The following is a 25,444-nucleotide window of genomic DNA, read 5'->3' on the forward strand; positions in this document are numbered from 1 at the left end:
AATAGGGTCTCACTCGGCTAGGTGCTGTGGCTCACGCCTGTAATCCCAGCACTTTGGGAGGCCGAGGCAGGTGGATCACGAGGTCAGGAGCTCTAGACCAGCCTGGCCAATATGGTGAAACCTCGTCTCTACTAAAAATGCAAAAATTAGCCGGGTGTGGTGGCACATGCTTGTAGTCCCAGCTACTCGGGAGGCTGAGGCAGAAGAATTCCTTGAACTCTGGAGGCGGAGGTTGCAGTGAGCCGAGATCATACCACTGCACTCTAGCCTGGGCGACAGCGCGAGACTCCGTCTCAAAAAAAAAAAAAAGAATAGGGTCTCACTCTGTTGCCTACGCTAGAGTACAGTGGCACTATCATAGCTCACTGCAACCTTGAAATCCTAGGCTCAAGCAATCCTCCCACCTCAGCCTTTTGAGTAGCTAGGACAACAGGTGTGTGCCACCACACCCAGCTAAGTTTTAAAATTTTTTGTAGAGATGGGGATTCACTATGTTGCCCTGGTCTCAAATTCTTGACCTTAAGCTTCTCAAAGAGCTAGAATTATAGGTAGGAGCCACTGTGCCAGGCCCACCCTTATAATTTATATTCTTTCTTTCCTAATCAAATCACAAATTTACAAGATTAGTTTTAGCTAACTACCTGCCATCCACAACACACATACTCACATAATACCTGAAAGGCTCTGTGTTAGTGGTTTACAGTAGGCAATTTAAAATATTTAAAAATAGGCTGGGTGCAGTGGCTCACACCTATAATCCCAGCACTTTGGGAGGCTGAGGTGGGCAGATTACCTGAGGTCAGGAGTTCAAGACTAGCCTGGCCAACATGGCGAAACCCCGTCTCTACTAAAAATACAAAAATTAGCCAGGCGTGGTGGCGGGTGCCTGTAATCCCAGCTACTCGGGAGGCTGAGGCAGGAGAATCGCTTGAACCTGGGAGGTAGAGGTTGCAGTGAGCTGAGATCACACCACTGCACTCCAGCCTGGGTGAGAGTGAGACTCCATCTCAAAAAAATAAATAAATAACATTTAAAAATAGCCTTGATAAAGAAAACACTGGAAAAAATTCAGTGTTTAGGTATTTAGCCAAATCTCAGATACTAAGTGGTGAAGGTGAGAACTCAATATGTGCAATTTCAAAGCCCTATCTCTTCATTTATGTATTGCCTTTTAACCATAAATAATCTGTCTCTTCTAGACTCTCACAGAAATTTTTCTGTTATATTATAGATAAACTACATTTGAGTTTATAGATAAACTTGCCTTCAAGTTCCCTTAAGACAAGATCCATGTCTGAGTCACTTATGTATACCCTGCAGTATCCAGTATTGAGCATTGCAAAAAATAAATGTCTAATAAATACTGATGTATTGAAGAAAACAAGCACAAAGAAAACAAGTGTGGTTCAGCTTGTCCTTAGAAACCAGACAAAAGTATCACGTTCTTCTTAGACATAACAGGGTCTCAAACGATATACATTGTATTAACAAACATCACATTACTCAGTGACTTCTGAAAAGTGCTAATGTTTAATCTTATTAGTTACTCCTACAGGGATCAAAAAATGGAAAATTTAATAACAAACTCAAAACCACCAAGGTATTCATAATCTTAATTTACAAGAACTTTGGCAGACAACTTCCTAAAATACCTTATCTGGATCTTTTTGAGAAAACTAATCAATTATGAAACAAAAAGGATGTTTATTTTTCATGATTATACTTACCATAACAGTCTAGCATCAGCAGTAAGCCCCGCAATTGAGATACCAATATGGTTGTCAACATGGAGAATTTTTTTCTGATGAGCTGCAAGCTCTGATTGCGCCCTCTAAATAGAGACATTATAAGATGTAAAAAAAAAAAAAAAAGAGACAAATGTAAAAATAAGTTTACAACCTTATTTTCTATGGTGAAATTTACATTGTTTTCTACAGAGGAAGACATATTTATTACTGTACTTACTTTCAATGCAACCAAAACTGCATGAGTTTTTGATTTCAGACCAACTGTGGCTGAACCTTGTTTAACAGCTTCCATTGCATATTCAATTTGATGAATCCTGCCCTAAAGAAAAAAAAAACAAAAAACACACATCTTAGAAGATCTTTTATAAATTAAAAATTAGGGTTTTCAAATATCAGGTGAGCACAGTTAAATCTCAACTGATTTTTTTTTTAATCAAGAGACCTTTTTTTTTTTTTGAGACAGGTTCTCACTCTGTCACCCAGGCTGGAGTGCAGTGGCACAATCTTCAGCTCAGTACAACCTCTGCCTCCTAGGCTCAAGCAGTCCTCTCACCTCACTGTCCACAGTAGCTGGGACTATAGGCAAGCACCACCACGCCCAGCTAATTTTTGTATTTCTTGTAGAGTCCGGGTTTCATGTTGTTCAGGGTGGTCTTGAACTCCAAGACTCAAGCAATCTACCTTCCTTGGCCTCCCAAAGTGCTGGGATTACAGGCATGAGCCACTGCACCCGGCTGAAAGCTTCTTTTAAAATAAATTTTCTTGTGTATATTTAACGTATGCAACATGATGTTATAAGATACACATATATAGTAGGGTCACTATCGCAGAATGAACACATCCGTTGTCTCACATAGTTACCCATTTTCCTCTGCTGTGGCAAGGGCTATAAACTACTCATTTAACAAAAATCTTGAATACAAAACACTACCTGCATTATTAACTGTAGTCTTCATGTTGTACATTAGATCTTTCCACTTGCTCAACCTACATATTTGCTACTTTGTATCTCCTCTTTTTTCCTCCCCACTGCCACCCCCTACCCTGGTAACCACTGTTTTACTCTCTCTATATATATATTTGCCCTTTTAAACAAAAGATTCCACATATAAGTGAGAGCATGAAACATTTTTCTTTCTGTTTCTGGCTTATTTCACTTAACATAATGTCCTCTAGGTCCATCAGGAAACCTATTTTAATTATAAATGCAACTTCCAAGAACGTCTAAAATAATTATATTCCATTTTCCCCAAGCCTACGCTCTCACAAGTTTCTAAATATATTGCAGCCACAAAAAGCCACTTCACAGAAAAGGTTTAAAAACATTATTTTACCTGGGGGCTCCAAACAGTGACATCATTGTCATACTGATTTCGAAACTAAAAGTAAAAGAAAAAAATACCTGTTAATAGAAGAACATTTCAAATCCCAACTCTTAACATTCATTAAGAAATATGCTTGTATTTCCATTCAATGTTAAGGCACTCTGTTCATGCAGTCTTACTGGAAGATTACTACTGTACTCAGATGTAAGCCAATTCTACATTTACCATAAACTCGTGGGAGAGGGAGAAGCAGATCTAAATGGGTCCTATTTTTCCAAACTCTTATTCTAACACCCTCCATATCAACCCCTTTAGGCTCAATTACTAAAGTTCACAATCAACTTTCTTGCCTATTTTTGCTTATGCTGCTCCCTTTTATTGGGCCCTAATAAATGGTTAAAAGTCTTCCTTTTCTTTAAGGTAGCTTAAATGTCGATTTCTTGAAGTCTTCTCCTTTTCTTCCCAAATCCCCCTAACATATACTCCCACAGCTCTTTATCTAAACGTCCCTTTCTGTTTTTATGATTAGGGACATGTATGACTTATTTTTTAATGTTCACTGTAGTTATGCCTGTACAAGTGCTGTCTGTATATTCACATTGAATGAACAAAAATGTCCTCACAAAGTTAGAGGTGGACACAAATAGCTGCAGCGATAGAACCATTACGGCTATTACGACTATTATAATAATAGTCATGGGAGTGAGATTGAGTGCTAGAATGGCAGACAGAACTGGAAACCCAGAACCCTATATTGTAACCCTGATTCCATCACTTCCCCTCTCAGCCTCGGCTTACTCATCCGCAACTAGGTGACTGGACAAAATGATTGAAAAGGGCCTCTTCTAATCGAAGTCTAGGCGAGAGATAAATAGACGGACCCACCAGGAAAACGGACGCTGTCCAGGAACACAAACCTGGGGGTCAAGTCCGCACTGGTGGTACAGGTAGGCCTCCAAGTCAAGTCTCTGTCTTCTCCTCTCCCATACACAGCACTAGGAGCTATTCTGGACCGCTCAGAATCTACTCCACTGAAGGAACCTGAGGGGCGAACTCATCTAGCTGACCGAGGAGGAAGTGTCGGAGGCTCCCCGGGAAGCGAAAGCGGTGGAAAGGCCGCACTGGCTACCGATAACCCCTAGCCCGGCCAGGCCGGAGATGCTGAATCACTGCCGGAGCCCGGCCGTCTGCCGAGGCTCTCATACCTCGTGGCACCGGGCGACGCTAAGGATGACAGGAGAGGTGGCTCGTCATCCCCCAGTCACCAGAGCTCTGCCCTAAACCTTCCAGAGATCGGGATTCAACGTACCATGGTGGCGGCGCGGGCCTGGTTGCGGCCTCCAGCAAAACTGAGAATCAAGGAGGTGCTGCCGAAAGTATCGCTCAGCGATCTACAGAGAAGTCTGCGGGAGTTTGACGGCGGCGGCGCAGGGTAGCGCAGTCTATTCCAGAGATATCGATAGGCTTGCAACACTTCCCCCTCCTTAAAACTTTCCGACCGCTCGGCGGCGGGCGGAGCCTCGGAAGATCTAGGAACTGAGACTGGCGGGAAAACCTGGCTGGGAGTGCCGGCGGCTGAGAGCTGCGGGGCAGCCCCTGTCACGTAGCCCTTCTAGGTTCCTGTGTATGGCGGATTCCCTCCAGTTTCTCCCGCTGGCGGGCTGCATCTAAAGTCGTCCGAGTCAACAGCCGTGACTCTGGGTGATACTAGCTCTCATTAACCGTCCACAGATTTGGGGTGTTATGTGACTGAAAGGAACGAGGCTGCAGGAAAGCCACAAGATAACGATCCGTTTCTGTGTGTCAGCTGTATTCTTCCTCGAGTATCTTGTTTGTGTACATGCTTTTATTTGCATTAAGGTTGGTGCAAAAGTAACTGCGGTTTTTGCCATTTGGCAAAATACTTTGGAATGCTCTTCCTTATTCCCTGGAGATGTTATCTTTCAAGGGTCTGTTGTCGTTAACCCCTCATTGTTATTATGATTGATTTCTTCCACCAGACTTTGAACTCCATGAGGGCGCTAATGTCTTTCTATGCCCCCAAAACCAAGCATGGTACCTGACAGATTAGGCCACTGAGAAAAAATGGACACTTTCTTTCGATTTATCTATTTCGTCTTTTGAGAGCATCTTTCCATAACGAAATAGTCTGACATCCACCGGCTATTTATATTCTTTGTAAAAAAGAGACTGGGTGTGGTGGCTCACGCCTGTAATCCCAGCGCTATTGGAGGCCGAGGGCGGAGGATCGCTTGAACCCAGGAGTTTGAGATCACTATATTATTTTAATACAGTGGGACCTCGTCGCTACAATAATAATAAGAATAAGAATAAGAATAAGAATAATAAAAAAAAAAGGCTGGGCATGTTGGCATGGGCCTGTGGTCCCAGCCACTCGGGAAGCTGATGTGGGAGGATCTCTTGAGCCAGGGAGATCGAGGTTGCAGTGAGCCATGGTCGCGCCGTTGCACTCCAGCCCGCCTGGGCAATAGAGATTCTGTTTCAAAAAAAAAAAAAGCCGGGCGCGGTGGCTCACGCTTGTAATCCCAACACTTTGGAAGGCAGAGGCGGGTGGATCACGAGGTCAGGAGATCGGACCATCCTGGCCAACATGGTAAAACCCCGTCTCTACTAAAAATACAAAAATTAGCCGGGCGTGGTGGCGTGCCTCAGGAGGCTGAGGCAGGAGAATCGCTTGAACCCGGGAGGCGGAGGTTGCAGTGAGCTGAGATCGTGCCACTGCACTCCAGCCTGGGCGACAGAGTGCGACTCCATCTCAAAAAAAAAAAAACAAAAAACAAAGTACTAAATTGTTCTCCAGAAATGTTTTACCAACATATACTCTCAACAGTAGTATATGAGGTTACCTTCTCTAATTCATCAACACTGGTTATTGTCGTATTTCTGAAAAACACTGTTGATTTGGTGGACTAAATTAACAGATTAAATTAATAGATTGTTCTCTTTCGTTTCTCCAGGACCTAGCACAATGCGTAGCACATATTAAGTGTTTATAAATAGTGCTAACTGATTAAATAAATGCTCATTTAAAAATTGTCATATACTACATAAACATTTTGAAAATTCTTTCCATATATATCTCTCTAGTCACATGCCTCACACAGATGTGTAATAAATATACAATTTTTAAAAATAAGATGATACTGTTTTTATTAATACACTTAAAAAGTTATAGCTATCATATGTCCATAAGTAATGGTCTATATTATTTTCAATAGTCGCATAGTATTTTATTGTATGGAAATATAATAATTTGCTTAATTATTAGTGTGCAATTCAATTGTTTCCAAGTTATTGGTATCATAAAAATACTATAATGAATATTCTTGTACATACACACCTATTGTGTGCATAATTACCTTACCTGATGAAGAATTCATAGAAGTAGAATTGTGGGGTCAAAGGGAACTTACATTTACAGTTATGATAAATATGGCTGAGTTGCAAAAAAAGTTATATCCATTTAATATTCTACGCTGCCTGAGAGTCAGTTTTCTCTGTATTCTTACCAACACTGGATATTATAAGTACTTTTTACTTTTATCAATTTGATAGGCCAAAAAAGAAAACCTGTTTCTTTAATTTTTAATTTTATTTATAGTTTTTTATTACTAGTAAAAAAATCTTTTGTTGTATTTCTTGGCTGTTTATGTTACTTTAGTGGATTGCCACTTCATTCCTTTCCTCATATTATTGTGTTAATCATTTTCTTACTGACTTGTAGGAGCTTCCTGTAATTAGGGATGGTAACCTCTTATTACTGTGTCACTTTTATAGAAAGGGCCTTTTGGATACAAATAAAAGAAACCCACTGAATCTAGTTTAAATAAAAGTTGAAGCACACATTGTAAATATGCAACAGGGAATCACATAAATATCCAAACATAATTTTTTGACTTTTTAAAAATTTACTGAGATATTCCTAGTACCTGAAACAAAGCCTGGCATATAGTAGGCACTCACTAAACATTTGTTGAATGAATGAGTGATAGATCTATCACTCCAAACCTGTCCTTCTGATAATTATTTCCTAAGCAAATATCTGGGGCTTTGCGATACATCCTTTATTCACAGCAATTGTCTGTACTCTTCAGAATGGCTGTTATCAAAGCTCTACTTGTAGACCAAAAGAAGGGGCATTTGGTTGACCTTTTTGTTAAGAATGAAAGTCCCAAGGGCTTATTAAAGGTTTATATGATTTTCAGCTCCTCTTTGTGTGTTTTGGGGATTTGGCTCAAGATACATCGTTAAAAACAACAACAACAACAACTTTTTTTTTAGAGACAGAGTCTAGCTGTGTAGCCCAGGCTAGAGTACAGTGGCATGATCATAGCTCACTGTAACCTTGAACTCCTGGGCTCAAGCCATCCTATTGCCTCAGCCTCCCAAGTAGCTAGGGCTACAGGTGCACACCACCATACCTGGCTAATTTTAAAATTTTTTGTAGAGACAGGGTCCTACTATGTTGCCCAGGCTGGTCATGAATGCCTGGCCTTAAAGTGATCCTCCCTCCTTGGCCTCCCAAAGTGCTGAAATTACAGGAGTGAGCCACCATACTCAGCTCCTCAGCTCTCAGGATACATTTTTTTTTTTTTTTTTTAAGACAGGGTATTTCTCTGTTGCCCAGGCTGGAGTGCAATGGCACAATCACTTCAGCCTGGACCTCCTGGGCCCAAGTGATCCTCCTACCTCAGCCTCCCAAGTAGCTGGGACTACAGGCAAGTACCCCCATGCCCAGATAATTTTATTTTTTTTGTAGAGACAAGGTCTTACTTTGTTGCCCAGGTTGGTCTCAAACTCCTGGACTCAAGCTATCCTCCTGCCTGGGCCTCCCAAAGTGCTGGGATTATAGGCATGAGCTACCATGCCCGGCCTCAAGATACATCTTGAGCATTAATCAGAAGCTGAAAAACTGATCAATAAAGATATTTTGTAGGAAGACTAGGTCAGCGAACATAGTACTACTTCTTTAAAGGTCATTGGAAGCCAGGCAAAGTGGCTCACACCTGTAATCCCGACACTTTTTTTTCTCCTGCTAATGCAGGAGAATTGCTTAGGGCCAGGAGTTACCAGCCTGAGCAACATAGCAAGACCCTGTCTCAAAAAAAAAAAAAAAAAAAAAAAAAAAAATGAAGGGAGGGAGAGAGAGAGGGAGGAAGAAAGGAAGGAAAGAAAATTAGCCAGGTGTAGTTGTATGCACCTGTAGTCCCAGCTACTCGAGAGGCTGAGGTGACAGGATCACATGAGCCCAGTGTCAGGCCTCTGAGCTCAAGCTAAGCCATCATATCCCCAGTGACCTGCACGTATACATCCAGATGGCCTGAAGCAACTGAAGATTCACAAAAGAAGTGAAAATAGCCTTAACTGACGAAGTTCCACCATTGATTTATTTCTGCCCCAACCTAACTGATCAATGTACTTTGTAATCTCCCCCACCCTTAAGAAGGTTCTTTGTAATTCTCCCCACCCTTGAGAATGTACTTTGTGAGATCCACCCCCTGCCCCCAAAACATTGCTCTTAACTCCACTGCCTATCCCAAAACCTCTAAGAACTAATAATGATAATCCACCACCCGTTGCTGACTCTCTTTTTGGACTCAGCCCGTCTGCACCCAGGTGAAATAAACAGCCATGTTGCTCACACAAAGCCTGTTTGGTAGTCTCTTCACACGGACACGTAAGACATTTGGTGCCGAAGACCCGGGTCAGCGGACTCCTTTGGGAGACCAGTCCGCTGTCCTCACCCTCACTCTGTGAAGAGATCCACCTATGACCTCGGGTCCTCAGACCAACCAGCCCAAGGAACATCTCACCGATTTTAAATCGGGAGCCCACTGGAAATCAGACTATCCAACTTGCCTGGCAGCCACTCCCAGAGCCCCTGGAACTCTGGTCCAAGGCTCTGACTGACTCCTTCCCAGATCTCGGCTTAGCGGCTGAAGACTGACACTGCCCAATCTTCTCGGAAGCCTCCTGGACCATCACACTTACAGTGGAGGGTAAGTCCGTCTCCTTCTTAATCAATAGGGAGGCTACCCACCCCTCATTACCTTCTTTTCAAGGGCCTGTTTCCCTTGCCTCCATAACTGTTGTGGGTATTGACGGCCAGGCTTCTAAACCCCTTAAAACTCCCCCACTCTGGTGCCAACTTGGACAACATTCCTTTATGCACTCTTTTTAGTTATCCCCAACTGCCCACTTTCCTTATTAAGCCAAGACATTTTAACCAAATTATCTGCTTCCCTGATTATTCCTGGACTACAGCCACACCTTATTGCCACCTTTTGCCCCAGTTCAAAGCCTCCTTCACATCCTCTCCTTGTATCTCCCTACCTTAATTCACAAGTATAGGACACCTCTACTCCCTCCTTGGCGACCGATCATGCACCCCTTACCATCCCATAAAAATCTAATCACCCTTACCCCGCTCAACGCCAATATCCCATCCCACAGCACGCTTTTAAAGGATTAAAGCCTGTTATCAGTTGCCTGTTACAGCATGGGCTTCTAAAACCTATAAACTCTCCTTACAATTCCCCCATTTTACTTGTCCAAAAACCAGACAAGTCTTACAGGTTAGTTCAGGATCTGTGCCTTATCAACCAAATTGTTTTGCCTATCCACCCTGTAGTGCGCAACCCGTACACTCTTTTGTCCTCAATACCTTCCTCCACAACTCACTATTCGGTTCTTGATCTTAAAGATGCTTTTTTCACTATTCCCCTGGACCCCTTGTCCCAGCCTCTCTTTGCTTTTACCTGGACTGACCCTGACACCCATCAGTCCCAGCAGCTTACCTGGGCTGTGCTGCCGCAAGGCTTCAGGGACAGCCCTCATTACTTCAGCCAAGCTCTTTCCCTTGATTTACTTTCTTTCCACCCTTCTGCTTCTCACCTTATTCAATATATTGATGACCTTCTACTTTGTAGCCCCTCCTTTGAATCTTCTCAACAAGACACCCTCCTGCTCCTTCAACATTTATTCTCCAAAGGATATCGGGTATCCCCCTCCAAAGCTCAAATTTCTTCTCCATCCGTTACCTACCTCAGCATAACTCTTCATAAAAACACACGTGCTCTCCCTGCCGACTGTGTCCAACTGATCTCTCAAACCCCAACACCTACAAAACGACAACTCCTTTCCTTCCAGGCATGGTTGGATACTTTCGCCTTTGGATACCTGGTTTTGCCATCCTAACAAAACCATTATATAAACTCACAAAAGGAAACCTAGCTGATCCCATAGATCCTAAATCCTTTCCCCAGTCCTCTTTCTGTTCCTCGAAGACAGCTTTAGTGACTGCCCCCACACTAGCTCTCCCTGACTCATCCCAACCCTTTTCATTACACACAGCCAAAGTGCAGGGCTGTGCAGTCAGAATTCTTACACAAGGACCGGGACCGCACCCTATAGCCTTTTTGTCCAAACAACTTGACCTTACTGTTTTAGGCTGGCCATCATGTCTCCGTGCAGTGGCTGCCGCTGCCCTAATACTTTTAGAGGCCCTCAAAATCACAAACTATGCTCAACTCACTCTCTACAGCTCTCATAATTTCCAAAATCTATTTTCTTCCTCACACCTGACGCATATACTTTCTGCTCCCCAGATCCTTCAGCTGTACTCACTCTTTGTTGAGTCTCCCACAATTACCATTGTTCCTGGCCTGGACTTCAATCTGGCCTCCCACATTATTCTGGATACCACACCTGACCCCCATGACTGTATCTCTCTGATGCACCTGACATTCACTCCATTTTCCCATGTTTCCTTCTTTCCTGTTCCTCACCCTGATCACACTTGGCTTATTGATGGCAGTTCCACCAGGCCTAATCGCCACTCACCAGCAAAGGCAGGCTATGCTATAGTATCTTCCACATCTATCACTGAGGCTACCACTCTGCCCCCCTCCACTATCTCTCAGCAAGCCTAACTCATTGCCTTAACTCGAGCCCTCACCTTTGCAAAGGGACTACGCGTCAATATTTATACTGACTCTTAATATGCCTTCCATATCTTGCATCACCACGCTGTTATATGGGCTGAAAGAGGTTTCCTCACTACACAAGGTCCTCCATCATTAATGCCTCTTTAATAAAAACTCTTCTCAAGGCCGCTTTACTTCCAAAGGAAGCTGGAGTCATACACTGCAAGGGCCACCAAAAGGCATCAGATTCCATCACTCAGGGCAACGCTTATGCTGATAAGGTAGCTAAAGAAGCAGCTAGAATTCCAACTTCTGTCCCTCATGGCCAGTTTTTCTCCTTCTCATCAGTCACTCCCACCTACTGCCCCACTGAAACTTCCACCTATCAATCTCTTCCCAAACAAGGCAAATGGTTCTTGGGCCAAGGAAAATACCTCCTTCCAGCCTCACAGGCCCATTCTATTCTATCATCATTTCATAACCTCTTCCATGTAGGTTGCAAGCTGCTAGCCTGCCTCTTAGAACCTCTCATTTCCTTTCCAACATGGAAATCTATCCTTAGGGAAATCACTTTTCAGTGTTCCATCTGCTATTCTACTACTCCTCAGGGATTGTTCAGGCCCCTTCCCTTCCCTACACATCAAGCTCGGGGATTTGCCCCCGCCCAGGACTGGCAAATTGACTTTACTCACATGCCTCGAGTCAGGAAACTAAAATACCTCTTGGTCTGCGTAGACACTTTCACTGGCTGGGTAGAGGCCTTTCCCACAGGGTCTGAGAAGGCCACCGCGGTCATTTCATCCCTTCTGTCAGACATAATTCCTCAGTTTGGCCTTCCCACCTCAGTTTCTCAGGCTCTTGGTATTCAGTGGCACCTGGTTTTACCTCAAACTGCCACCCTTAAGTCTCTCTTTAAGTGGATAGAAGATCTTCAGTGACAAAGTACACTTCAATACTTTCACCCTGATGAAGTCCTATTCTTTACTTTTATACTTACTCTTATTCTTGTTCCCAATCTTATGCCACCCTCTACCTCTCCCAGCTATCTCCACCACACTATCAATCTCAGTCACTCCCTCCTAGCTGTTTCTAATCCTTCTTTAACAAACAATTGCTGGCTTTGCATTTCTCTTTCCTCCAAAATCGCTGAGGCCTCGACTTACTACTAAAAAAAAAAAGGGGGAGGGAAACTCTGTATATTTTTAAATGAAGAGTGCTATTTTTACCTAAATCAATCTGGCCTGGTATATGACAACATAAAAAAACTCAAGGATAGAGCCCAAAAACTCGCCAGCCAAGCAAACAATAACGTTGAACCCCCTTGGACACTCTCTAATTGGACATCCTGAGTACTCCCAATTCTTAGTCCTTTAATACCTATTTTTCTCCTTCTTTTATTCGGACCTTGTGTCTTTTGTTTAGTTTCTCAATTCATATAAAACCACATCCAGGCCATCACCAATACTATATGACAAATGCTTCTTCTAACAACCCCACAATATCACCCCTTACCCCAAAATCTTTCTTCAGTTGAATCTCTCCCACTGTAGGTTCCCACGCTGCCCCAATCCCGCTTGAATCAGCCCTAAGAAACATCGCCCATTATCTCTCCATACCACCCCCAAAAATTTTCGCTGCCCCAACTCTTTACCACTATTTTGTTTTATTTTTCTTATTAATATAAGAAGACAGGAAGGTCAGGCCTCTGAGCCCAAGCTAAGCCATCATATCCCCAGTGACCTGCACGTATACATCCAGATGGCCTGAAGCAACTGAAGATCCACAAAAGAAGTGAAAATAGCCTTAACTGACGAAGTTCCACCATTGATTTATTTCTGCCCCAACCTAACTGATCAATGTACTTTGTAATCTCCCCCACCCTTAAGAAGGTTCTTTGTAATTCTCCCCACCCTTGAGAATGTACTTTGTGAGATCCACCCCCTGCCCCTAAAACATTGCTCTTAACTCCACTGCCTATCCCAAAATCTTTAAGAACTAATTAATGATAATCCACCACCCGTTGCTGACTCTCTTTTCGGACTCAGCCCGCCTGCACCCAGGTGAAATAAACAGCCATGTTGCTCACACAAAGCCTGTTTGGTGTTCTCTTCACACGGACACATGAGACACCCAGGAGTTCAAGTTTGCAATGAACTATGATCAGCCTGGGTGACAAAGACCCTGTCTCAAAAAAAAAAAAAAAAAAAATTAAAGGTAATTGGTAAGTTATGTTAGGCTTTTAAAAGAATCAAATAAAAGTAAATTCTAAATAAGAGCCAAGTTGAAAATTTTTTTCATGGATGTGTAAATCTTACCGTGTTATTATGTTTAGCACCTATAACTGGTACATTGAACAAATAGATGTATAGGGTGCAATTTGTAAGTAACTTATTTTCACTCCACATGTTAAAACACACCTGGTGGAGTTAATCCTCCCATGCTCATTGAATAAAATAAGATACAAATCTCATGAGTTTTCTGGTTGTTCAAGTAAAAAATGTTTGACTTCCCTTCTATGTCCCTGTCTAAAATTTCTCTCCTAATCGCCACCACATCTGCCCCCACCCCAACTCCCATCATCACCACCAACTCCAGGTTTCCTTCCTTCTTTCAAGTTCAAACAGAGGAACAGGCAAGAACATTCTTAACTTGGCTACTACAGTTCTGTGATTAAGGGCTGGTACTCTTTGAGCTTGGCAGATGTTTACAGTTGACACTTGTAACTTTATGCGTGCGTTCTTTGGTAACACCTTAACTCTCACCTTAGCCCAATGAGAAAATACTGGTAATCTTGTGCTTACCCTTGGGTAAATATATTTCATCTGGCTATCAGCTCAATATTAATAGCTAGCATGTATAGCTACACTCCCAGCTTTTTTTCTGTGGAAGTCTCATCCTTCTTTGTGAACCTTTCTCGTAGCCCTGGTCTAATCCAAATACCTACAGAGTGGCTTTGCCTCTGAGAGTGCAGACTTTGACCATATCCCAAACTCATTTTTGCAATTAGCCAAAATTTCTTGCTCTCATCCACTAGAATGTTAGCTCCATGAAGCGGGGAATTTTTATCTATTTTGCTCACCACTGCATTTGCCTATACCTAGAATAGGCGAATACAGTGCCTGTACTTAATAAGTGCTACATTAAGTATTGAATGAATGAATTCCTCAGATATGAGTCAGACACTAGTCCACTGTGACCTCAACCCCTGCCCTACCCCCCTGCTAGGTGTAGGGATCATATATCAAAGTTTCATTAAAGCCTCTTTCCCTAGGTGTGAGGTGAGGAAAAAGCAATGTCCACTCACAGCACACCAAAAACTCTCAAAATCTTCTAAACTCCAGTCTCTGAATTAGAAGTAGATGGACAGCTAAGAGTTGCAAAAACAGTTCCCTTTCCACTCCTGCCACCTTTTTTGGGCAATTTCTACTTTTTATGGTTTTCCACTTTATTATAAAATACGAGAATATTGGCATTTTACTTTCTTGGAGCCTCAGCCAAACTGAGACAGAAAGAGTCCCTTTTAAAATGCAACTACACATATAAAGCTTAATTGCACTTATTTGTTCATATGTTGTCCTCACATTAAATCAGGAGCCGCTGGAGGATAATGTTTCATATTTATCTTTGTACATATGTTTAATGTGTCACACTGACTCGATGCTCAATAAAATTTAGTTAAGAGTTAGTGGGCTGGATGCAGTGGCTCATGCCCGTAATCCCAGCACTTTGGGAGGCCAAGACGGGCAGATCATGAGGTCAGGAGTTCGAGACCAGCCTGACCAACATGGTGAAACCCTGTCGCTACTAAAAATACAAAAATTGGCCAGGTGCGGTGGTGCACGCCTGTAATCCTAGCTACTTAGGAGGCTGAGGCAGGAGAACTGCTTGAACCTGGGAGGTGGAGGTTGCAGTGAGCCGAGATCACTCCACTGCACTCTAGCTTGGGCGACAGGTCAAGACTCCGTCTCAAAAAAAAAAAAAAAAAAATTAGTGAATGAATAAAAGTTCTCTAGTAGTAGTAGCAATAATTTCAAATAATTTACATAGTACCAAAAGTTGAAGTCTAAAACTCTATGTTTCTAGTACTCTTCTAGTAGATAGTTTTATCTGGAAATATTTATAGGAAAATTGTGGAATTGCTTATACTTTGTCATTGTGCTAGATATTCTCTGATAACCCTATAGATATACTTCACCCTTTTTTTTCCTTTTTTCAACTTTTATTTTAGATTCAGAGGGTACATGTGCATGTTTATTACATGGGTAGATTGCGTGTTGTTGAACTTTGGTGTACAAATGATTTCATCATGCACATAGTGAGCATAGTACCCAATAGGCCCTTCTTCCACTCCCTCCACTCAAATCGACCCTGGGGTCTATTGTTCCCATCTTTGTGTCCATATGTACTCAATGTTCAGCTCGCATTTATAAGTGAGAACATGTGGTATTTGGTTTTCTGTTCCTGTGTTAGTTCACTTAGGATAATGGCCTCCAGCTCCATCCATGTTACTGCAAAGGACATGATTTTGTGTTTTCCTTTTGGTTTTAGAGATAGGGTCTCATTCTGTCTCCCAGGCTAGAGTGCAATGGCGCGAACTTAGCTCACCGTAGCCTCGACCTCCTGGGTTCAAGTGATCCCTCTACCTCAGCCTGAGTAGCTGGGATCACAGTTCTGTGCCACCACACCCACCTAATTTTTGTATTTTTTGTAGAGATGGGGCTTTGCCATGTTGCCCAAGCTGGTCTTGAACTCCTGAGCTCAAGTGATCCGCCTGTCTTCACCTCCCAAAGTGCTGGGATTACAGGAATGAGCCACCAAGCCCAGCCTCCTGTATTTTTTATGGCTGTATAGTATTCTATGGTACTTTAATCTTTTATAGATTGCATCAGTAAGATCCCTTCCTCTCTAGCTCCTGGTTGGGCTCAGCTAATGGAAGACACTAGTAGATCAGAAAGCAATAGGAAAGAGATATCAGATTATGTATTACCTTCTCCCGCTCCATGTTGGCCACAGGTTGGCAGTGGTACTGCATTACCACTTGCTGTTCCCCTGCCCACATTCTGATTATACTCTCTTCAGTTACCCCTTTGGAGAGTGCATCTGATTCTTGCTGAGACTCTGACTAATATAATACCATTTTAATTTTTTTCAGGGTACAGGAGTTATCCAATACTTTTTTCTGTGAAAAAAAAAAAATCCTCATCTTTTTTTGACATTAAGTTTGTATTATACTTCTGGAAATGTTAATATCAATAGGTCTAAAACAGCTGGAAAATAGAACCTAAGTTTATTATCTATGCCCTTCCCTATTTTCGACCTGTTCAAATATATAGGAAAAACAGCTTACAGCTGGTTTTATAATATACATTTTTTCTAATTAAAAAAGGGAGGCCAGGTGCGGTGGCTCACGCCTGTAATCCCAGCACTTTGGGAGGCCAAGGCGGGCAGATCTCCTGAGATCAGGAGTTCGAGATCAGCCTGGCCAAAATGGTGAAACCCCACCTCTACTAAAAATACAAAACTTAGCCCGGCGTAGTGGCACATGCCTGTAGTCCCAGCTACTCGGGAGGCTGAGGCAGAAGAATTGCTTGAACCTGGGAGGCAGAGGTTGCAGTGAGCCGAGATTGTGCCACTGCACTCCAGCCTGGGTGACAGAGCGAGACTCCGTCTCAAAAAAAAAAAAAAAGGGGGATATACATTGAAGATTTTTTTTCAATAAAGACAATATGATTGGCCAGGCTAGGTGGCTCATGCCTGTAATCCCAGCACTCTGGGAGGCCAAGGCGGGCAGACCACTTGAGGTCAGGAGTTGGAGACCACCTTGACCAACATGGCGAAACCCCAGCTTCTTGGGAGGCTGAGGCATAAGAATTGCTTGAACCAAGGAGGTGGAGGTTGCAGGTGAGCCGACATCTGCCACTGTACTCCAGCCTGGGTGACAGAGCAAGACTCTGTCTCAAAAAAAAAAATTTAAAAAAAATCTAAAAATAGCTGCTAAAAAAAGACAATATGATAAATTACTATATTGTACTAGGTAGTGAAACTTACTGTGTTTTTTCCCCTTCAATACTATCCATCTAGAGAAGGGAGAATATCCTGAGAATATATTTTCCAATATGTGTAACATGTATATACATCGTGTGTACATATGCATATTGTGTATATGATTCTTATTTCATAGAAATAAATACTGCATTTCTTTAGGTCCACTTGAATCTAAGCCTGAGCTCCCATCCTGCCATGCTGGTGAGAAATTCTACCTTAGTTATCATTGAGCATTTCCTCTCCATCCAGGGTTGTACAAAGTTTCTAGGGCTTGAATTATTATAGAAGTACCTGGAATTATCTCAAATTACTTGGTCATCTCTCCACATTGATTTGGTGCTGGGATTCCCTTTTGTGCCATCTTCACTTCAGACTGGTGACTCTCATATTTCTTTACCACTGTTGGTACTCAAGAATCTGGAATCAAGTAAGTGAATGTGGCAGCCCCTGCACCCAAGTACAGCTTCCTAAGGTACCCCATGTGGCTTTCCTCTTTGAGGTTTTGCCACTATCTGGGCTTTGTTACAGAACAAGATGGGAATCTTAGCTATTCACTCAAACTATAGGCTTCAGACTTCTAAGTTTTTTTCTTTTTTCTTTTCTTTTCTTTTTTTTTTTTAATAGAAACGGGGTCTCACTATGTTGCCCAGGCAGGTCTTGAACTCCTGGGCTCGAGCCATCTACCCAGCTCAGCCTCCCAAAGTGCTGGGATTACAGGCATGAGCCACTGAGCTTGGCCCAGACTTCTAACTTTTGAGGAATCCCTCTTTCACCTCCCTCTTCTCATTTCACAAGACAGAGCCTATGGTATTTCTGAGCAGTGTTTGCTTTTTGCCTTACAAAAATCTGAAGTCTAGATACTTGCTTGAATGGGAGAAAGGGGTAGTAGGATAGGAGAACACATAAAATTAATATCTCAAGGCTGGGCGCAGTGGCTCATGCCTGTAATCCCAGCACTTTGGGAGGCTGAGGAGGGTGGATCACCTGAGGTCAGGAGTTTGAGACCAGCCTGACCAAAATAGTGAAATCCCCATCTCTACTAAAAATACAAAATTAGCCGGGCATGGAGGTGCATGTCTGTAACCCCAGCTACTTGGGAAGCTGAGGCAGGAGAATCACTTGAACCCAGGAGGTGGAGGTTGCAGTGAGCCGAAATTGTGCCACTGCACTCCAGACTGGGCAACAAGAGCAAAACTCTGCCTCAAAAATACATACATACATACATACATAAATAAAATAAAATAAAAATTAATATCTCAAAATAAACTGCCACAAAAAATTTGTATCAAATTATATATGATTCTTTTTAAACCTGCTTTTCTATGTAAACATTAAACCACGAACATTTCTTCATGTCACATGCTTTAAATGTCTGTATAGCTATAAGGTATTACATCATATAAATGTTTCATAATTTATTTGACTAATATTTGATAGCCTTTAAACAGCTTGCTTTAAACTAGCCTTATCTGCACCCACTCCCACCTTTTTAAAATTTTAATTTTAATTTATTTGTTTATTTTTAGGACAGGCTTTTGCTCTGTTGCCCAGGCTGGAGTGCAGTGGTGTGATCAAAGTTCACTCCTGGGCTCAAGCAACTCTCCTGCCTCAGCCTCTAGAGTAGCTGGGTCTACAGGAGTGAGCCACTGTGCTGACCATTTTTTTTTTAATTACTGTGTTTTTTCCCTTTCAATACTATCCATCTGGAGAAGGGAGAATATCCTGAGAATATATTTTCCAATATGTGTAACATGTATATACATCGTGTGTACATATGCATATTTAAAAAAATTAAAAAAACAAACAAACCTGCTTATAGGAGGCCAGGTGCGGTGGCTCACGCCTGTAATCCCAGCACTTTGGGAGGCAGGCAGATCTCCTGAGATCAGGAATTCAAGACCAGCCTGGCCAACATGGCAAAACCCCGTCTCTACTAAAAATACAAAATTAGCGGGCATGGTGGCAGACGCCTGTAATCCCAGCTACTCGGGAGGCTGAGGCAGGAGAATTGCTTGAACCCAGGAGGCAGAGGTTGCAGTGGGCCGAGATTGCACCACTGCAATCCAGCTTGGGCGACAGAACGAGACTCCATCTCAGGAAAAACAAAAACAAAAAACAAACAAAAAAACCCCTGGTATTTTAGAAGCTTTTTATTTTTAACTGGTTATTCAGAAGCTAAGGTTTTTTTTTTTTCTGGCAACAGCTAACACTTGGAATAGAGCAATCTGGAATTAATAGACATAATTGGGAAGAATAACAATTTAGAGTTATATCTAAACTGTATAATATAATTTTCCTCCCTCAGTGTGTGACTAAAAGAGAGGCCTGTACAAAAGCCATGGCACACTTGAGTTGTTTAGAAATATTTTTTTCCAGAAATTAAGCAATTATTACAGACTGTCATCTAGATAGTTGAGTAACAATGAATCTTACATGTTCATGGGAAAATTTCTTTTTCTTTCTTTCTTTTTTTTTTTTTTTTGAGACGGAGTTTTGCTCTTGTTGCCTAGGCTAGAGTGCAATGGCACGATCTCGGCTCACTGCAACCTCCGCCTCCAGGGTTCAAGAGGTTCTCCTGCCTCAGCTTCCCGAGTAGCTGGGATTACAAGCATGCGCCACCACACCCGGCTAATTTTTGTATTTTTAGTAGAGACGGGGGTTTCTCCATTTTGGTCAGGCTGGTCTCGAACTCCCGATCTCAGGTGATGCGCCCACCTCGGCCTCCCAAAGTGCTGGGATTACAGGCATGAGCCACCCCACCCGGCCATTCATGGGAAAATTTCAGTTTGGCTTTTATTTGGATTTTTTTTATTCTAAAAAATCCTGAAATAACTAATAATGGTCTTTAAATTGGAGAATTAGTGTTGTTTTTCTGTTCCATTCTTCCTGCAAGATACCTCTATTGATCAATTTTGCAAATACTGGTTAAGAATCAGGGTGTATCCTGATCCAAATCCCCAAATCATGCTTCGAGGAGTTGAAAGCCATTAAAACCCCAAGAAACCAAATATCTCTTTTGTTGGTCCACAAGTAGGGCTTTTATATAAGAGCCACTCTGAAGTGTCCAGCCAAGCACTTTCAGCCACCAATATATATGCATAGAAGGTAATAGTGAAAAGCACAGGTTTTGGAGCCAGACATTTCTCATTCCTTCAAAAAATATTTGTTGATCACCTTACTATATACTAAGCATTATTACTAACAATAATAACTGTTATTACTAATCCCGGCCAATGTCTTCTCATTTTCAAAATAAACCTCTCTTAGGCCGCGCGAGGTGGCTCACGCCTGTAATCCCAGCACTTTGGGAGGCCGAGGGGGGCGGATCACCTGCGGTCAAGAATTCGAAACCAGCCTGACCAACATGGCGAAACCCCGTCTTTACTAAAAATACAAACATTAGCCGGGCTTGGTGGTGAGCGCCTGTAATCCCAACTACTCAGGAGGCTGAGGCAAGAGAATCGCTTGAACCCGGGAGGTGGAGGTTGCAGTGAGCAGAGATCTTGCCACTGCACTCCAGCCTGGGCGAAAGAGCGAGACTCCGACTCCAAAAAACAAACAAACAGAAAAACAAACAAAAAAACTCAGATATTTCTTCCTCTAATAGGACAAAGGCAGCATTTAAAAAAATTTTTTTTTATTTTTATTTTTGAGACGGAGTCTCGCTCTGTCGCCCAGGCTGGAGTGCAGTGGCACGATCTCGGCTTATCGCAAGCTCCGCCTCCTGAGTTCATGCCATTCTCCTGCCTCAGCCTCCCGAGTAGCTGGGACTACAGGCGCCCGCCACCACGCCAGGCTAATTTTGTTTTTCTATTTTTAGTAGAGATGGGGTTTCACTGTGTTAGCCAGGATGGTCTCAATCTCCTGACCTCGTGATCCGCCCGCCTCGGCCTCCCGAAGTGCTGGGATTACAGGCGTGAGCCACCGCGCCCTGCCAAAGGCAACATTTTTTCGTGTCATGATGGCTTCAGAATTTCTTTTCCTTTAGCTTGTTGCTGGAGTGGCAACGGCAACAAGAGAACAGACATTTTATGATGGAAGGAGTATGCTTACAAATAGGCCAAATATTTTCATTTGTTTTATTTCTTTATCTTTCCTCAAGACAAGAGAGAAAAAATTCAATCCTTAGTCTGCCAATAGACCAATAATTCCTAAGATATTGTTTACAATAAAAGTAATATGTCCTTTAAAACTAATGTTTTCTAGAATTTCAGTGGCAAACTAAGTGCGCAGTTCCTTCCTCTACTGCTAGGTGGCGATTAATGCCTTATTTAGAAAAAACAATTCTTCCTCCCTGACCCCACCACCCTCGCCCAGAAAAATACGTGCATTTTCTCTTCTTTAAGGTAAGACTTCCCTTAAGGATAATATTCTTTTATTCCTGTTTTGTCCAAGTGAATTTACATTCACCTTTTCCTTTAATTGTTAAGAATAACACATACAAATCAAACGCATACTGCAATAACTAAGGAAGAATAGATCATATCTTTTAAAGAGGGTGGTTTCCAAACTGAGTGTATGTTCATGAATGATACAGAGTAGGAAGTTGCTATAACTTCCCTGCAGGGTTTTTTTTTTTTTTCAGTTTCACTAAAGAAAAATTTCCTGGCCCATGCTAACATCATGCCTAATGTGATTAATTATAAATATAACATTATTAAATATAAAATAAAAATAGAGAAGGAAAATTATTTTAAAGACCTAAAGGCAATTTTAATGTGGTAAAATTACCCTTTTTTTTTTTTTTTTAGACAGAGTATCACTTTGTCACCCAGGCTGGAGTGCAGTGCCATGATCTCAGCTCCCTGCAACTTCCATCTCCCAGGTTCAAGTGATTCTCATGCCTCAGCCTCCCCAGTAGCTGAAATTACAGATGTGCACTGCCACACCTGGCTAACTTTTGTATTTTTAGTAGAGATGGGGTTTTGCCATGTTGGCCAGGCTGGTCTCGAACTCCTGGCCTCAAGTGATCCGCCTGCCTCGGACTCCCAAAGTGCTGGGATTACAAGTGTGAGCCACCGCGCCTGGCCTAAAATTGCTTTTTAATGTGAACTATGGGAAAAACAACGAAATAATTATTCATAAAAGTAACTGAGGGGGTATAATATAAAAAAATTTTTTTTCAGGCAATCTTTCAATATTTATTCCTAGCAAAATTACTTAAAAACTACACATAGTTCCTATGTATTTATAAGTCTAGTGAATCTGGTCTACATTTTTTTCTAAGTATGTTTAATTGTGTGTACATTGCTGTCTCCAACCTTCTTTGCCAAAAAGAATACGTGTAGTGGATGTTTGTTTTATATAAAATTCAAATATTGAATCCCTGTTTAAAGAAGACTCTCGGTTTGGGTCTTAAACTAAAGACTTTTCCCAGGCTGGACTCGATGAAGTCTAAAATCAAAAAGAAAAGCTGCTTCTGGCATTCTAGGCCTTCCCTGCATCCAGATGGCCTGTCTGTAGCCTAGCCAGAACCAAACCCTTCCTGCTGCCTTTTCAGCTGGTCTTGGATGACAGCCCCATGCTACGCCAGCTTCCATATCCCTTAACTCTTGAATGTCCAAGATTTTTAAGAAGAAGTGGGACTTCCCATGTGAATTTGGTTGAAAGGGTAAATCAAGTTTTATACTTGAAGTTTAGTTTATAAAATATTTATTCACATCACTACCACCAACCCCTTCACAGGCTTCCTCCCACAGTAGCTCAGTCAGCCAAGTGGCATCAGAGGGAGCACCGTTTGGAAGGGAGTGTGTGTGGGCAGCTTGCAGGTGAGGACAGGGCTGCCAAGGCAGACCATGCGGTCTGTCCTGTGCCTACACCCAGTACCTGACTTCTGCCTTTCCAGAGCATTTGTATACACACAGCAGTTCTGTTGTTTGGGGTGTGCGTAATTTCAAAAAGTACTTTTTAAAATAACTCATTGACAAGACTTACATTTAGCAAACAAGAATATGTAATGGCAGATATAAAATGACCATGCATGGATTTAAGTGGGAACTTCTCTGAAGTCGTTGGGACAGAAAAACAAATCTACTCCATGTTTTAAAAGTACCTTTGGAAATCTTACTAGTGGCAGCCATTGTTTTCTTATGGGTTCTCAAAGGCTTATTTGTCTGTGGGAATTTCAACAGAAGGTAATACACAGGCAAACTACACTTGAAGGCAACATTTCTCTCTGGCTTTCCTTTTCTACACAGAGAGATATTCTAACTGATTTGCAAGGGTGCTTCTCAGTTGGCCGGAATGAGATATTTTCAGATGAAAGCCTATGACTCTGTGTCACTTTCCCCCTTATTTTTGAATCTCATGTCTTAGTTCTGCAGTCACTGTTATTTTTAATTATTATTATTATGCCTGTTGCCAAGCTATTCCACTTTACACAGAGTTGATTAGAGACCTGACAAATCCAGGCCAACATAAAGTCCTGGCTTCCAGATCAGACTACGTGAACAAAGAAAAAAAAGAAATCTACCAAAGTGCCAGCTTTTAGAAAGCTCTTAAAGGAAAAAAAGGAAGAAAAAAATAATTTTAAAAACCAAAACAAACTAGAGTTATAAAGAGTGGAGCTTAAGAACAGGACCCACGGGCCGGGTGCGGTGGCTCACGCCTGTAATCCCAGCACTTTGGGAGGGCGAGACGGGCGGATCACGAAGTCAGGAGATGGAGACCATCCTGGCTAACATGGTGAAACCCCGTCTCTACTAAAAATACAAAAACAGAATTAGCCGGGCGTGGTGGCAGGCGCCTATAGTCCCAGCTACTCAGGAGGCTGAGGCAGGAGAATGGCGTGAACCTGGGAGGTGGAGCTTGCAGTGAGCCGAGATTGCGCCACTGCACTCCAGCCTGGGTGACAGAGCGAGACTCCGTCTCAAACAAACAAACAAAGAAAAAAAAAACAACAACAGGACCCACAGGAGGAAGATAAAGGATAAAAAAATCCTATATGGCTAAGATAAAAAGGAAACATATAAATGAGAGAATAAAAATAGACCTGATATCACTATAGATTTGCAGCATTTAGCCTGTAGTGCTGCGTGACTACTCTAAGCAGCAGGAACCTCTCTCCACCACTAACATAAAAGGGGCACTCTGGCACAGGGTTTCCATTTGTGGCTTCAGAACTGAAATGTTTCCCTTGACCCTCTCTACCCACCCAGCTCTGTTCAGATCTTCACTCCCTTGTTTTCAGCTTCCCTACTTGCTCTCTGCATTTGCCTGGCCCACAAATGCACAAAGTTGCCTTCTGTGGGTGACCTTGTCTTTTTGCAACTAAGATGATGAAAACTGGAACTCTCCATCCAGCTACGTTGTCTCAGGCCACCCTGGGTGACACTCCTCCCAGTTGGATCCAGTCCTCAGGATTTTTCCCTCTGAAAAACACAGTGAACTAGACAGGCTTTTAGGAAACATTACGTCCTCAGGAGAGATACGATATTGCTTATGGTTCAGCGCACACTTCCAGAAAATAAACTGAGATCGCCTAAATGCAGAAAGATCAAAAAAGCCCTTCATTTCTGGAGGTAAATGTCTGTTTTTCAGTTCTACACATACTACCTTACTAAAAGCTGATACCTGATGGATTGCAATTGGGTTTTCACACAACAATAAAATACTACTCCTATCAGAAAGGAAATGTGAAAAAAAATTGTGAACGTAAAAAAGGAACATGTGGAGTTAAACATCAACTTTTCCTCTTAGAAAATCTGCAGAAAAGCCCAGTTAAAGAAGAAGATTGTTTTAGAATAAGTCATCTAATGCTGGCTTACTGTTCTTTTTAAAAAAGGTACACTTTTTGTGAAAAGAATTTTACTTCCCCTGTCATTTTGGGATGGGGGACAAAAACTTGGGAGTATCACTCCCATGTTCTAGTGTAAAAGAAAAAAAAGTTCCTGGTATGAAAAATGTTATAAAGTTAACACTTGGACACAGGAAGGGGAACATCACACACCAGGGCCTGTTGTGGGGTGGGGGGAGGAGGGAGGGATAGCATTCGGAGATATATCTAATGTAAATGACGAGTTAATGGGTGCAGTACACCAACATAGCACATGTATACATATGTAACAAACCTGCACGTTGTGAACATGTACCCTAGAACTTAAAGCATAATTTTTAAAAAAAGAAAAATGTTCTAAAGTTATATATAACAATAGTTTTCTCCCCTAATTAAAATGTTGTATTTTTCTACTTTTCCACATTAACATGAGAATATATAAAAGGCATCCTTGCATAAAACCCTTTGACCAGATTTCACAACTCTAGTCCTATGCTAATAAGAAGTCTTTATTTAGTTTCAGTCTTTCCAAATAAGCCTGTATGCTTCTGACGCAGCAAACACCAGTTTGGTCCTCTCTGTCCTCTGTCCCTTGACCCCCAGGCT

The 25,444-nt window shown here is 42.1% G+C and overlaps 1 protein-coding gene across 3 annotated transcripts in view, besides 2 other annotated features; it reads right to left on the reverse strand.

Moving 5' to 3' along the window:
* Nucleotides 1-25,444, reverse strand: part of PSMA1 (proteasome 20S subunit alpha 1) — a 138,787-nt gene that overhangs the window by 11,039 nt on the left and 102,304 nt on the right. For 2 of the 3 annotated variants that reach the window (NM_002786.4, NM_001143937.2), the window contains exons 1-4: nt 4,383-4,472; nt 3,083-3,127; nt 1,966-2,067; nt 1,728-1,831 (exon numbers count right to left, since the gene is read on the reverse strand). In NM_002786.4, the coding sequence (NP_002777.1) occupies nt 1,728-1,831; nt 1,966-2,067; nt 3,083-3,127; nt 4,383-4,385 (254 nt within the window). In that variant the 5' untranslated portion in view covers nt 4,386-4,472. Of the gene's footprint in view, nt 1-1,727; nt 1,832-1,965; nt 2,068-3,082; nt 3,128-4,382; nt 4,473-25,444 lie in introns of those variants that run through there. The other variant, NM_148976.3, reaches the window with a different exon arrangement.
* Nucleotides 4,265-4,879: an enhancer, noted in NCBI's record as "NANOG-H3K27ac hESC enhancer chr11:14541725-14542339 (GRCh37/hg19 assembly coordinates)". NCBI's record gives its function as "activates a minimal SCP1, AML or CMV promoter by ChIP-STARR-seq in primed H9 embryonic stem cells {active_cell/tissue: H9 hESC(primed)}" and the evidence as "EXISTENCE:reporter gene assay evidence [ECO:0000049][PMID:30033119]".
* Nucleotides 4,414-4,603: an enhancer, noted in NCBI's record as "active region_4475". NCBI's record gives its function as "activates an Ori minimal core promoter by ATAC-STARR-seq in GM12878 lymphoblastoid cells {active_cell/tissue: GM12878}" and the evidence as "EXISTENCE:reporter gene assay evidence [ECO:0000049][PMID:35858748]".

This window comes from Homo sapiens, chromosome 11, assembly GCF_000001405.40.
Source record: "Homo sapiens chromosome 11, GRCh38.p14 Primary Assembly".
NCBI classification, from domain to species: Eukaryota; Metazoa; Chordata; class Mammalia; order Primates; family Hominidae; genus Homo; species Homo sapiens.